The sequence below is a fragment of the Homo sapiens genome, chromosome 13, assembly GCF_000001405.40.
Source record: "Homo sapiens chromosome 13, GRCh38.p14 Primary Assembly".
NCBI classification, from domain to species: domain Eukaryota; kingdom Metazoa; phylum Chordata; class Mammalia; order Primates; family Hominidae; genus Homo; species Homo sapiens.
In genome coordinates this window covers 35,561,434-35,577,400 of record NC_000013.11, presented here as the reverse complement: position 1 = coordinate 35,577,400, position 15,967 = coordinate 35,561,434, and the positions used below count along the sequence as shown (strand labels likewise).

At 34.0% G+C, this 15,967-nt stretch overlaps 1 protein-coding gene across 15 annotated transcripts in view; it reads right to left on the bottom strand.

Moving 5' to 3' along the window:
* The window catches only part of NBEA (neurobeachin), a 730,467-nt gene that overhangs the window by 95,336 nt on the left and 619,164 nt on the right, over positions 1-15,967 (bottom strand). For all 15 annotated transcript variants that reach the window (XM_047430271.1, NM_001385012.1, XM_006719803.4 and 12 more), the window contains one exon: positions 10,384-10,496. In XM_047430271.1, the coding sequence (XP_047286227.1) occupies positions 10,384-10,496 (113 nt within the window). The remainder of the gene's footprint in view (positions 1-10,383; positions 10,497-15,967) is intronic.

The window sequence follows — 15,967 nt, the reverse complement described above, 5'->3', positions numbered from 1 at the left end:
TAATGGATATATATTCTTTTTTTCTGTTTAGCATTCATTATGCCTTCAACCTTTGTGAACCATTCCTTCCCCACTCTTGGTCTACCTGGTGCAGGTGAGCTGACCTCGCTACCTGACTCCCTGGGTGGGCATGGGATCTAGACCTGTCAATCATAATATTTTATCCACATTGGCACTATGACTGCAGCAGAAATGGACAGGTAATTCAACTTGATCGGATGAAACTTTGCTGCAACTATCTGGGAAAAGCTCTCTTTTTCTAGCGGGGTTACAAAGACATCATTACTGTAACACAGGGAAGCCTGTTTGAGAATGAAGCCAATGTAGAAAAGTAACAGAGGTGTGGATCCTGATAATTCTGGTGGGCACTTGGATCCAGTTTTCCTGAACTGACCCATCCCTGGATTTCTCAGTTATATGGGCTAATCAAATTTTTATTTTAAATTAAAGCCAGTATAAGTTGACTTTCTACTATATGTAATCAAAAGTCGTAAGTACACTCACAATTGTTAAAATGTCAAACAAAAACTATTTTTATTAACTAGATTGTCAAAAATTATTAAGTTTTATAATACTCAGTATTGGAAAACATGATATCTCATAATGCTATTGGCAAATAAATCAGTATAAATTTCTTGTGGGGAAAATTGGTAACATTTAAAAAATCATATAGTTTTGATCAAGTAATTCTACTTTGTATAATTTATTTTTTGAAGAATATATATGACAGTATATCAACAGTTGTCTCTGGGCAGTGAGAATGTGGAGACTTTAGTCTTCCCTGTATACTCTTTTTTTGCTGTTTAATCATGAATTTGGTTTATCTCATAGAGATAATTTTAGTCGGCTTTTAGAATTATATGACCCAGAAATATATTTCACATGTGAACATTTTAACTTTGATAAATTTAAATTAACTATAGTAACTTTATATTTTGGCTAGTGTTATTGACCAAATATTTCCAAATATAAATTTCTATTATTGGCCAGGGCAGTGGCTCATGCCTGTAATCCCAGCACTTTGGGAGACCAAGGTGGGTAGATCTCTTTGAGGCCAGGAGGTCAAGATCAGTCTGGCCAACATGATGAAACCCCATCTCTACTAAAAATACAAAAATTATCCAAGCATGGAGGTGGGCACATGTAATCTCAGCTACTTGGGAGGCTGAGGCAGGAGAATTGCCTGAATCTCGGAGGCGGAAGTTGTAGTGAGCCAAGATTGCACCACCGCACTCCAGCCTGGGTGACAAAGTGAGACAACGTCTCAAAAAAAAAAAACCAAACCAAAACAAAACAAAAAACTTCTATTATCAATCTTCATTGATATTTGAATCAGCGTACATCAAAACCTTACTAGTTACAGCGAGTTAAATGACAACACGAGGAACAAAAAGACAAATTCAGAAGCCTAGCATTGGCATATAATAAATACATGCAAAATATTGGCTGTTATTGTTATGTTCTATAAGATAACTGGCATGCTCTCTTAAATGAGTCAATATCATGAAAAAAAAGGTGGGGGTGTTAGGGTGGCTGGGAGCTATTCTAACCTTTAGACAGATAAGACAGAAGAATCAGATGTACTGTGTGGTCGCTGACTGAATCCTGGCTTAAGCAAAACAATTTTTAAGACACATGGGAGATAATTAGAAAACCTTGATTATAGGCACAGTGTTAGATAATATTAGGGAACTGTCATAAGTTTTGTTAGATATAATCATGGTGATCTGATTATATGGGAAAATACTATTTTTCACACTGAAATATTTAGGGGTAAAGTATGATATATTTAATTTATTTAAAAATACTTCAGTAAACCAATAAAAGCTAAACTGTCAATAATTATAACATGTAGGTATTGGTTAATGGGTATTGTTATTAGGAATTGGTACTTTTTCTTTGCTTAAAAATTTTCATAGTAAAGTCAAAATCAATTAAAATAGAGTACAAAAACAAACAAAACCTTTCCAATCAATCCAAGTCTTTCCTATGTTTTGGGTTGTTCTAAATAAGAATGCTTTAAATGACTTGAAAATTTGTTTCTCTAAAATATGTTAAAATTACGTTCTTGTAAGTGTGGATTAAACATTCCCTTTGCAATTTTATACTGTTAATTGGCTTAATATGGCCTTTTGTCATCAGATGAACTTCAGCAAATCAGTACACAATTTTCAAATACATTATTAAGGAACAGAACCTGAAGTCATGAAACGATAATAAAGAGAAGTGTTAAGATTACATTTTTCTATTAATTAAATGTGTTTCTTTTTATAGTTTTTCATAGGGTGGAATTGAGTATATTATGAAGAAAGATCATCTTTGATCTAAAGTTGCAATTTGATTAGCAAAATCTATTAGCACTTGGCCGCATGGTGGCTCACGCCGATAATCCCCACACTTTGAGAGGCCGAGGCGGGTGGATCAGGAGTTTGAGAGCAGCCTGGCCCACATGGTGAAACCCCATCTTTACTAAAAATACAAAAATTAGCCAGGCGTGGTGGTGCACGCCTTTAATCCCAGCTACTGGGGAGGCTGAGGCAGGAGAATTGCTTGAGCCCTGGAGGCGGAGGTTGCAGGGAGCCAAGATTGCACCATTGCACTTCAGCCTGGGCAACAAGAGCGAAACTCAAAAAAAAAAAAAAATCTATTGGCACTTTATTTTTTTAATTTAATTTTTTGTAGAGACAGGGTTTGGCTATGTTGCTCAGGTTGGTCTCAAACTCCTGGCCTCAAGCAATCCTCCTGACTCTGCCTTCCAAAGTGCTAGGATTACAGACGTGAGCCACCACATCCAGCTTTAGGCACTTTCACAGGAATGCTAGTCCCACATAGGACTGAAAACTTTGGAGGTGTGGAATGGCTCACTGACCGCATTTCTTTTGACTCCTCTCCTCATATCTGACATGACTGAGCATTGTGCAGGATATTTTAAAAGAACTCATTCTTACTGGATAATAGGGAGAGTTTTTCTTTTTTCTTTTTCTTTCCTTGTTTTTTTTCTTTTGTTTTTCTTTTTTTTTGATAGTGTATAAAAACTGCCAGGGCACTTAGAAAAGGTAGAGGGCATCTAGAAGAGAAATTAATCACTAGCTTTTTTTTTTTTTTTAAAGAATATCCTACCTATGTATTATGGAGAAATAATAGGTAACGAATGGAAGAAAATGCAATCTATATAACCAGTGCAACTCATCATAGCGTTGTGAGGGTAAAGCAAGAAAATCCATGTAAGATGCTTAGCACAATGCCTGGCATATAATAAACACATGCAAAATATTGGCTATTATTATTATCATTATCCCAAGATAGTTCCTAAGAAAGTTAGTTTTATATATCTTAGTGAAAAGTAAATACTTTCACCTACAAACAGTAGAGCATCTTAAATCTTCATGTGTTAGTTCTAGAAGTTTTCCAGGTATTAAGTAGAAGGATAATGATGGGGCTACAAATTAGTTTCAAGATCACTTCTAACTGCTTAATATTTTGTTTCAGCTGGAAAGAAAGGTTAAAGGAGACTGAATTTGGCCTAGTTTTGCATGATAATGCTGTGGTTTAGACACAGAGGTGACATGTGGCTGGTGAAATTAAAGTGCATAAAGCAGGCTCTCTTTTCCTTTCCATAGGTAGGATTCTTCTAAGAGCATACACTAAACAGTGTTCCTGCTGTTTTCAGTTTCTTCTTTAACAGCCTAAAATTTTCAAAGCAAAACAGGCTCTATAGGATTTTTTTCCCTCTCTTTTTCTGAAAGGGTGATTCAGCTGGCTAAGTGGGAAGGAACAAGAAAAGAGGATAAAGAGACATTTAGTATAAGCAAACAGAGCCTAGGACTGCTTTGGAAGTTCTGTATAAATCTATAAAGCTCCCTGTCACCCTATTATGTCTCCAACAAGCAACACTGGAGATATAAACAAACAAACACAAAAACACTTCACTGTTTCTGGTTACCAGTGTCTGTGAAGTCTACCTTTTTAGTTGCACTTTTCTTGGTTCTTCCATTTTTTCAATTAGAAGGAGAACAGCTTAATATGTCACTGGGTAAACAATGACTGTAACTTCTTAAAGGTATGAACTAAGTCTTATTGCCTTTGTATCTCCAGTGTCTGGCACAGAGTAGGTTGGCAATAAATGCTTGTGTAATGAAAGAATGAGTGAATGAATAAAAGTATTAATTTAAATAAATGAATATCTCATGAGTTTAAAACAGTATCCAAACACTGCCAGTCAATACCTTGTCCCTCAGCACTGCCATATTAGCAAGTCTAATGAAAACAATTTTCAACATAGTGTGGATTATATGTTAAGGCAGCATTCAACATACATTGAAACAAGTTATTTCAAATTTGGCAGCAGGGTTATTTGGCAGATGGTATATAATTATATTTACACATTTACACTTTTATCTTTTAGTTTTGTATCATCCTACCACTAACACACCTAGTAGTTTTGCCCATACTTCATATTTTGTTGTTTAAAATTAAGCATTAGGTAGATTATGATCAAGTAAATGGAATTAATTTCATTTTAGATGTTGTTAACTTACAGTGAAAAAGAAAGATAAAATAACCACAGAAACTTGCTCTAGTTGAGATTGTAGTGAGCCAAGATCATGCCACTGCACTCCAGCCTGGGTGACAGAGGGAGACTCCATCTCAAAAACAACAACAACAACAACAACAACAACAACAACAAACCCAACTTGCTCTAGATTGCTGAGTCATGCATTCCCCACCTTACCAATATAAACTCTTTTCTGTGTGGTAGATAGACATTTGGAAGTATTGAGGGTGGATGGTTGAAGAGTATTCACACTTCAGTGCATCCATTTGCATTATCACATTTCAAAGCCTCAAGGCATTATCACTTCCTTTTATTAAGTGGCATAATAATTTGGGAAAATGGTTATGCTTATCATCATCTGTCAGTCAAACAACTCCTGTGTTAACAAAATATATTTTTTCCACTCGATGAATGGGTGTGTGTATGTGATGTCTTATGTTCATGTCAATATTAGTAGGACTTGGTTTTGTGATGAAACTATTTCACTTATCAGAGGGCATGACTGGGAAATAGGAAAATTCTATTTACACTTTAATGAGCAGAGACTGTGCTTCACATCAAAGTCATGTAACCACTGTAATTTAAGAGTCGAGTTCATATGAGTATATGTAAATAACTGAAGCCCTAGCATATATCATGTTGTAAGATAGATTTCACCATAAGGTTACATCTCCATAAGGAATACCTATATAAATGGGGTGGGGAGGAAATCTCTAAACCTACTGTTGGTTGGTGTTGAAAAGATAGGTCAAAGGCAGATTGTTTCATCTGTTGACCCTCATGTCAAACAATAAACATAGCCCCTAACCTGTACACATAATAAATAAAACTTGAACCTGTGATGTCTAATCAAATGAGAGGTCTAAAAAATCTTACTGATAAAGAACTTTTTTTTTGCTCCTGTGCTCTTCGAATGTTCAATTAAGTGGGCCAAAGAACAAGTAAGAATATTATAAATATAAAATATTTCAGTCTAAATAAATGTGCACCTAAAGTTCTAATAAACATTTAATATAACCTTAGTGTTTTGATGTTACAGTTTTGATAATTTGATAACTCAAATAGATGATAAAACAGAATTATTTATTGAATTAAAATATTTTATTAAATGGCATTAATTTTTAATCTTACTAGAATAAAAAATAAATCAGAGGAATCAAATAACCTTCAGTAGGTTTTTGTCAATCATACCAAAGATAGTGAACTCTCAAATGACAATTATGGAAATTTGCTTTGTCACTGCCACTCACTGAATGCCACTTCTGTGTCAGGCATTATACTAGGTGCCTTAACTACTTTACGGTGTTAAAATCTTTCAACAACCCTATTATGTAAGTATGATTGTGTTCATTTTAAAGATGAGAAAACAAGTTCAGAGAATTTAGAAAACATCTTAAATTTGCACAATATGTGACACAGAAACAAATATTTGAGCGAAGCCTACATTCTTTTCATGTTCCAGTTACAACCTCTTGACTTTTTCTCCCAATTCCCACTATTGTTCAAGCCACTTTCAGCTGTGTTTTCTGAAACTTTCATTCAGAAGTTTCCCAACTGATACAACACAGAATTTCATGAAGCCTGTGTAATGTGGTGGTATAAAGAAAGAAAATAAATATTTATTTTTTTGGCATTGTACATTTCATAGTTTCTTAATTCTTTCATATAGTAAGGAATATAAAAAGTATTTGGGGTACCACATGTTTATTGAAACAAATTCTAGAATTATTCACTGCTAAGAATTATTACTGGGATCAGGAGTCCCAGTGTTTGTTTAGAAACAACTACTTTTGTTGTTAGAGATCTTTTAGAATGTTCTTGGTCATATCATTCAAGTATTTCAATTTTTCCTTGAGCTTCTGAAGAGTAAGAAACTCTCCATTAAAATTTTCATTTGCGGTATTGATTATAACTACAAGAACTTCATGTGCTTCTTAGTGGACATCTCTTCATTGTGATAATATTGCACTATAGTAGTTTTTCCTTCCAATTATATTATTATACTTCAAATGTCATTTTCCCATTAGGCATATAAAAAGATATATTTTCATACATTAAAATCTTGTTTATTGATGGATTTTATACAGGATAGTCTCAGGTTTCTAGCTCATTTGTAAGAAGCTCCTATTAAGAAATTCAATGAAGCATGGGAACAATGCACGAGTAATTTATTAACATATCAAGAGGCTTTAATTTGCTAACATTTTCCTATCATGCTAGGGTGACAGAATAGAAAGAACAAATTGCTAAAGCATAGAATATAGTAAAATTGGAAGAAAAGCTACCTATCTTTTAAGAGCTCATGGATTCAACTGTTCACAGCATGAAGAACTACATGCTTGCAAAACTACAGTTTGTAGTCACATTGCCTAATTTATTTAGGCTCCGTCTGTTTACCTGTATTATTTACTTAACACTATATAAAATTAGAGGAGCACATGTGAGGCACAAAAGGAAAAGCTCTGCCAAAGGAAATACACATTACACAGATTAGCATAAAAACCCTGAAATGGGCTGGGCGTGGTGGCTCACGCCTGTAATCCCAGCACTTTGGGAGGCTGAGGTGGGTAGATCACAAGGTCAGGAGTTCAAGACGAGCCTGGCCAACATAGTGAAACCCTGTCTCTACTAAAAATACAAAAAAATTAGCCAGGTTTGGTGGTGGGAGCTTGTAATCCCAGCTACTTGGGAGGCTGAGGCAGGAGAATCGCTTGAACCTGGGAGGAGGAGGCTTCAGTGAGCCGAGATTGCACCACTGCACTCCAGCCTGGGCGACAGAGCGAGACTCCGTCTCAAAAGCAAGCAAGCAAACAAACAAACAAACAAACAAACAAAACCTTGAAATGTTTATATCTTCAGTTACTGTAGAAACAGTGACTTCCTCATTTATTTTAACTCATTTTTTCCTACATGGATAAATGAAAAAAATCTATGATTACCAGCAAATATGTTACCAGATGCCTTCTATAACCCATACTAATCATAATGAGTGCCACATTTTCTTTGGCTGGGCCAGTGTTTCAAGAACATTTGAGTCCAAATGTCTTAGTGAGTCTGAGCCTGTACTCCCCAGTGAGGCACAGTCCCTACTATACCTATCTTGTAAATGCTGGCCTCTCATATTACTGTTAACTATCTGAGTTTTCATTTTGCTCTGGGCTGAACTCCCTTCAAGTGGCTGGGAGTATGTCTGCTTTATTCACTCCTGTACACTCTTTCACTTGTAGAGTGTTTGACATATAGCACATGTGTGATAAATATTTGTTGACTGAACAACTGAAAGAATAAATAAATGGAGAGAAAAAAAGGAGCTTCAGTCTATAAGTTTCCTTTAAACACAACATCCCAGTTGATTTTAAATAAAAAGAACTTCCTTCCTTGTTTTAAAAATAATACAATAGCCATAATAGTAGTCATCGTACGAGGTTGTAATATGCTACCTGAGAATCTATACTCTGAATTTTTATCGTATATATATTTTATAATGTCTAAGTAATGGCTATTCAATTTATGTTAAATAAAATACATGCAGACAAGATTTTGTCAAAGAACTAGTTTGACAGTTTTCATCCTCACATCAATAAGTTAGTTTGGTTTTTGTTTTACACCCCAAAATTACACTTCAACCTTGGCAAGTCATGCATGCCATTCAAATATTCTCATCCAATATGTATGTAGTAGCATATATTCATCATCATTATTTGAAACACAATTCAAAGCATATGGCCTATATCAATGATTCACCACTCTATTATTGTCATATACATAGCATTAGCTAATACTGATGTCCCTGCACTATTCTAAGTCCTTTATGCTTATTAACCCATCCACCACTCCACACAACAACCCTATTATTATTGATGTCTCATTATATAGGTGAGGAAATTAAGACAAAGAGAAACTAATACTCTTGTCTAAAGCTCCACAGCTGGTAAATGGCAGAATTAGGATTTGAATGTAGGCAGTCTAGCTGCAGAGTTCTTGTTCCTAATCTTGTCCCTAATCCAAAATTCTGAAATCTCAAATGCCCCAAATCCAAGTTTTTAAGCACTGATGTGATGCTTAATGGAAACACTGCAGCACTTTGGATTTTGGGTTTTCAGATTAGGGATGCTCAACTGGTAAGTATATAATGTATATATTGATATTTCAAAATCCAGAAAGATCCAAAATCCAAAACACTCTGGTCCCAAGCATTTCAGATACAGGATACTCAACCTGCATGTATTATCTCTTGTGTGGGTCTCTCTAAAATATTGTACTTTATTTTTAATTTTTTGGGGGACTGATCTTATTATTTAGATAATCTATAACTAGATTTGTTCCTGAAGGGCAGGCTGCATGAATTACAATGCTTCTATCTACCTTATCTTAAATAATTTAGTTACCTGAATATGGTAAATAGTTAAGAATTTTTGGTTGACTCACCTTGGAAGAATTACTATATTTGCAAGCGTATTAGAATTCATTTGCTAGCAATTTATTTCTACCAGTTGTGTGACTCTCAGTAAGATGTTGGCTAACTGATCTTTTAGGTCCCTTTAACATCTATAATACCACAGCTAAAATTATCCATGAGCTATCAACTAAAATTTAATAGGGAGTTATATAAAATAAAAGAATTGGATACTGAATGACGCATAAGAACATGAAAAAACTAGCAAACAGTCTTCAAAAGAGGCTAAGAAATATTCCATGTGTAACAATAATACTTAATACTCAGGAAGTGCTTCTATGTGCCAAGTACTATGTTATAATTTTTAAATGTACATGTCATTAGATCTGTACAACTATTTGACATGGGACAGTATTATTATTCTCATATTACAAATGGGACAAGAGAAACTAGCTTTAGGTCACAGAGCTAGTAACTAGTGCAATATAGAACTTCAACTTAGGTACGTCTAGGTTTCAAAGGCCAGAAAAGGGGCAGAAGCAGGCATGCTGAGTTAAAAACCATCTGTGGGATTAATTTTAAATCAGCTGTAATGTTGTTTCCCTAAATCACAGGGCTTATGCTGCTCTTGTCAATTAGCCCCTTAAACCTGCCCCCTAAAACCAAATGTATACACAAATACCTTTCAACTTTCTGTGGATTGCTAAATCAGACAATCAAGTCTGATAGAAAACAGAGATACATTCCAAGTCAATGGGCTGAGGCTTTACTATGGCTAACATACATAAACTTTAAGGCAGGCCTCTGGCGTAAGCTTAGACTATAGAGCAGCTTTTTGGGCTTAGTTCCCAGTTCTTCACTGAATTTCAAACAGTTTAGTATCACACTGTAGTTTCCTCTGGACAAATGAGGTGAGCTAATAAAAATTTTGCCTTTTATTTCTCATTACCGTTATGCACCATTTTCTTGCCATCTTTTGGGCCATATCTTCTCTCTCATATATAGACAGACACTTGGTAAAATTAACTGACTTTCTTTTCAGTATTATATTTCCCTACAATGTGTGTATTTTATGGTCAATATAAATGTCTTACCATCTAAGGAACATATCACATAAATGATTTGCCATCATATTTTCTACTAATTTTAGGTTTTTAACCTTGACTTTAAAGCCTAGGATATATGAGAAAACTCTCTCTACATCTGCTGTTTCTCAAATACCCATTTCATTTTGCCTATGCTAGTACTAGTTTATCTTCTTGTAGCTTAATTCCTGTGCTAAGAATTGGTAAGATTTAGAAACTGACTATGTAAGTCAAGATAATCAGTTTCACCTTCTTACAAACATTAACTGGCTATATATACTCTGACAGAAATACTATTAGACTATAGCCTTATGAAGAAAGCTGACTTCTATATATTTAAAAGTTACCTTTGATAGATCCCTGAAGTTTCCTGGAAGAGTCAGGTCCAACTCTTCTGATTCATAGTTGGTTAACACCCACGGAAACACTGGATATTGGTTCAGATCATTATATGTCCGTCCTAGTAAAGAAAAACAGAAATAAAAATTTGTACACACAAAATGCTTATGAAATAGTTTCTGTTTTTACAAAGCATCTACTGAATTTCAGAAGAAAATAACTTTTTATTTATTGAACCGTATCTTTAACTCTGATAACAATGCATTTCAAGGGAATTCACTCAATAATTGTTTTAAGACGTAACTAGAATTACTATTTATAAGACTGTGATAGAGGCTACTGGCTGGTTATTGTAATTGATTCTCCTCTTCCTGTGTTACACCACATTTCTCAGCCTCCCTTACAAGTAGCTCTGGCCACAGGATTTAGTTCTCATCTACAGAATGTGAGCAAAGTCTCTTCAAGACTTGGCCCACTGAAACTTCCTGCATGTGTGTCTCATCTCTCTTCTGCTGATGTAGATAATATTGCAACCCCGGAAGCAGAGCCTTGCCAGTCAGAGGCCCTGAAAGTAATTATGGAGGAAGTCACCCCACTGACCTGCACATCTGCAGCTTATGTGGTGGTATTCTATTTTATCTTTTATTTATTTATTTATTTATTTTGAGATGGTGTCTCCCTCTGTCGCCCAGGCTGGAGTGCAATGGCGCGATCTTGGCTCACCGCAACCTCTGCCTCCCGGGTTCAAGCGATTCTCCTGCCTCAGCCTCCTGAGTAGCTGGGATTACAGGCACGCGCCACCGCACCTGGCTAATTTTTGTATTTTTGGTAGAGATGGGGTTTCACCATGTTGGCCAGGCTGGTCTCCAACTCCTGACCTTGTGATCCATCTGCCTCGGCCTCCAAAAGTGCTGGGATTAGAGGCCTGAGCCACTGCACCTGGCTGTGATGGTATTCTATTATAATGAATATATATCTAGAAATTATATTATGAGTACACAGAATACTATGTTAAACTTATATCAAGAATGAATGCAGAGAATTTGCGAGTGGACAGAAGTACTCTGAAGCTAGGATGAGAAACTACAGAGGCAGATGTCAATCATACATTTTTTCACTCCTTAAGTTCATGAAATATTTTTTTGTCTTATGTTGTTTCACTTTAGCGAAGAACTGCTCGATCTTAGGGTGAATATGTCTGCTTATGTTTTGGTAGAATGACTTAAATATTTCAGGTATGATATTGAGGCACAGTGGGAATGGGGAAAGTTTAGGGGAGCAAGCTGCGGCCCCCCCTCATAAACTGAAACTGAAAAAACATGATCAGGTGAAATTAAGAGAATAGCTATTAAAGAAACAGGATCCTAAGAAAACTTTTGTTGAACAAAATTATTTTTTATAAAAATGCGTTATGATCCAATTATCAGTAATTTTCTAAATTTCCATTAAAATTCACACAAAACAGCTATTTCACTGGTATTTAGTGATATGAGTTTCATCCAGTATGCCATGGTTGCACACACCACATGTACTATCACAGTAGCATAGATATGCAGATATTATCTTGTTCATCATCAGGAAATTACATTAAATGATATCTGCTCTTACAGCATTTGGAAAACATAACTGTGAAATAGAAAAAAAAAGAACTACAATCTGAGTAAGAACCAAAATCTGTAATTGCAAGCACCAAACCAAATTAATTAATATATTTAGAAAACACTTTATTGATGACTATTTTATCTGTTTATTATATGAAGCTTTGCATTTTACAACTAAACTGCATATTGCTTTAAATGTATAAACTGGTGTGGGTATGTAATATAGGTGTGGGTATGTAATATAGGTGTGGGTAATGGCAGCAGAATGTTGCTTCCACTTTGCATTTACTGGGATGAGGTTACAGCTAGGTTAGGGCTTCCCCTGTGTTGCCTCACCACAGTTCTCATACAGACCTCTATTACACCTGATATACATTGCTGTTTACTTCTCTGCCTCTCCACCAGTCTGTAAACTCATAAATGTCAGGGCTGGGTTGTTTGTTTGTTTGTTTTAATCTCTGTGTGTTGGCATATGCCATCTGCCCAATAAATGTTTGTTGATGGAATGGATATGCATGTGATAAAAATGGAATAAAATGACCCAAATTTCAGAAGATGAACAAATATAAGTCAAGTAAAGGAAAACTGCAGAACATTATCTTTAGAAGACGAGGATTATGCAAAGGCGTAGAGGTATATATGAGAGAGAATGATATTGTGAATGTCTACATTAAACGAGAAGAAAACATCTACAGCTAGGTAGCTCAAGCAATCAATGAACCTGCTTGTGTTTAAGTCTATGGTGAATAATACTAATGATGAGATTAAACAAGAGTTCGGAGCCATATTAAAGTCTTTTGACATGACAATAATCTGCTAAAACAGTACCAATATTGTAAAATAAAAGCTGTACAATTCTAAACTTGAAAATTTATTACTAATAGTTCATATGTATGCTAACCTAGGACACCTGATAGGGCTCAGTACTTTTTTTATATGTATATATACAAAGAGTACAGATTGGCTAGACAGAGCTATTTCTGGGATCCTAAATGGGTCCATGGCAGAGTTTAGAGCTCTTCCATTTTCTTGGGGGAGCTGTTCTACTTAAAAATCTGTAGATTTTAATGAAAAGCAAGTATTCCAGTGTATATTTTTTTAATAGAATAATGCTGATGCTACCTATCTAGATATAACATATATTACTTAAATAAATTAATTGATAGATGAAAATCAGATAACCACAATTGTTAAAATAATTTCTGATGAAGTTTTATAATTTATATATTAAGGAAAACTGTTAAAAAGCCAATTTACATAAACACAGTATTTAAATGTACTGTGTCAATGCAAACAGCATAAAAATGTAGACTATATTTGAAGACACCAGCCTTTTTAATAGAAATGATTTTCTAAGAAAGAAAAGGATACTGCTTGAGGGTAGAGGGAAGGAGGAAGGTAAGGATCCAAAAACTACCTATTGGGTACTATGCTTATCACCTGGGTGACAAAGTAATCTGTACACCAAACACCCATGACATGTAATTTATCTCTATAAAAAATCTGCACATGTACTCCTTGAACCTAAAATAAAAGTTAAAAAAAAAATAATGCTATTTTAGGAAAAAAATACAAAGAAGAAAAGCATTATTTAAAAATACACACACACGTATACACAAAATGAATGATGCCAATAGCCATATTTCATGTCTATTATTCTGTCCTGCATTTTTTTTTGTAATTCACTTTCAATAATCTTTGAGAGGTCCTTTGAAAATAAGTGCTAAAAAGAAAATTTTAGTAATTTTTAAATTAGCAGAGATTTATAGCATTATTTTAATTCTAATAAATATAATAAACTTTATAAATAAATATGACATTAATGCTTGTTTTTAATAAAAATTTCTGCATAAGAGCCTTGTAAAATGGACAGTCATATATGTATTTGATTTGAATTAAAAATGCACAATGTATTTAATGTTACATGGAAAAAAAGAGTGATGAAGTGGCACTTTGGGGTTTTGCATTGATATGTTTTAATCATGAATTAGTATTACTCCTTTAATTATTTTACTGAACACCTTTGTGAAATGAAAAAAAATACTGTTCATTAAATCATCCAAAAAATGAGTTATTTCCAAAGTAATACTCATGAGGCTCTGGCATACCTAGATGTTTAATTACTAATTGTTTTGTTTTTTCTTTAGGATAGTTGATATTTAGTAAATACACTGGTGCTATAATTGGTAGGGTCCTTTCCTTTTCCAGCAGTGGTAAGTAAATATATATATTTGTGTGTGTGGAGATTATCTATCTATCTATCTATCTATCTATCTATCTATCTATCTATCTCCACACACACACACACATACACTTTATTTTGCTAACTATGCTTATAAGAATTTATCTTGGAAGATGAATATTAAATACCGCAAGCCTATGACACTAATCTACTCAAATAATAAAAGTGAAACAGTAAATGAGATCTCAGAAACACTGGATATGTTTCTTCATTAAAAAAACTTTTTAATTAAACCATCCAATTTAATGTTTTTATATGGCACTTTGGTTTTGAAGGTAAAGTGATCTAGAGACAGCTGACAAAGAAATTATAACTGCAATTCCTTGGTGAAAATGTTAATGACAGCAAAATATTGTTTAATTAGATGATGGCAGCATCTGGATTAACACTCTTTAAGAGCGATGTTCCTGTGCTTGTCTGCTTCTTCACACTTTACAGACATTTTGTCATCTCTAGGTCATTAGGAAAGAATTTTTAATGATTTTTCTAGAAGCAAGCAGTTCAAGTTACATCTAATTAGATGACAATAATAAGCCCAACACATGCAGTTGCTAAATATATACATAATTAACCAGGGAGGGCTTGTTCATCACAGAGTAAAAAAGTGGAAAATGCTAAACAGGAGAAAAAGGTTGGGGTTGGAGAAGTTGTGCTGAATTCATTAGCTGATCATATGAAAAACAACTCAAAATCCTTAAAAAAAATTCTCAAGTTTAACAGGGGATCATTTACACAAAGCCGTGTTAGCGGTTACTCTCCTATTTTTTAAAATGCAAGAATTACAGGCTTTAATATCTTTTGCATAATATTATCTAACAAGGTATAAAATAAGGCATAGGTTGTATTTTTCAGAAAACAAACAGAAATCAGGTCAATTTGGGAACTGAAAGTTGAAACCACATTTTTAGTAGAACTCTAAGTATCATTAAGATTATTTTACACAATCATCTAAAATTTAATGTTCTTTGAAAAAAATCAAGTGTTTCAAAAATAGTTAAAGAAATTTTGCCATATTTCTAGGTTGGACTCTCATGTAGTTTTAAAAGTCATGCCTTCAAAGAATATTTAGTGAAATGGAAAAAGTAGAAAGCAAACCTGTATACATTACAGGTTCCCAATGACACACCACACACAGAGAATGAAAAACAGAAAAATCACCCAAATGTCAACTGTGATATTTACGGTTAGACTTTTGAGTGGTTTAATTTTTAAAATTACCATTTTTTGTATTTCCAATTTTCTATAATGAACATTCATTAAATTTATAAATAGAATAAAACAAAGCCTAAGAACACATTTATGGGATTTTAGATGTCTTTTAAATACGTTTCCGGGATATTTGGCAAGCTTCTTTTGGCAAGATACTTCTATGTAAAGTATCTTTACAAAACTTACATACAGTAAATGTGTGTTTATTTATATGCAATTATGCACATGTACACATACCACAGGAGGGTGTAAAAAGTCTGCATAATGCATTAATACTATGATACTGAGACCATGTGCTTTATACAGAATCTTATTTTTAAAAGCATCTAGAAAGGAGAAAAGTGAAATTGGTCAAGTATGAGACACTTTTAAGAAATGGGTCATAAAATGTACTTTGCATTTCATACTAAAATAATATTTTTGGGAAAAAAGATAAATCTGAGAGTGTAATAATAATGTACAGTTTGGTACTGTTTTAATCTAAGTCTTAGAATTATTTATAGAATATTTGTGGATAATATTTATAGAAAATATGAAATT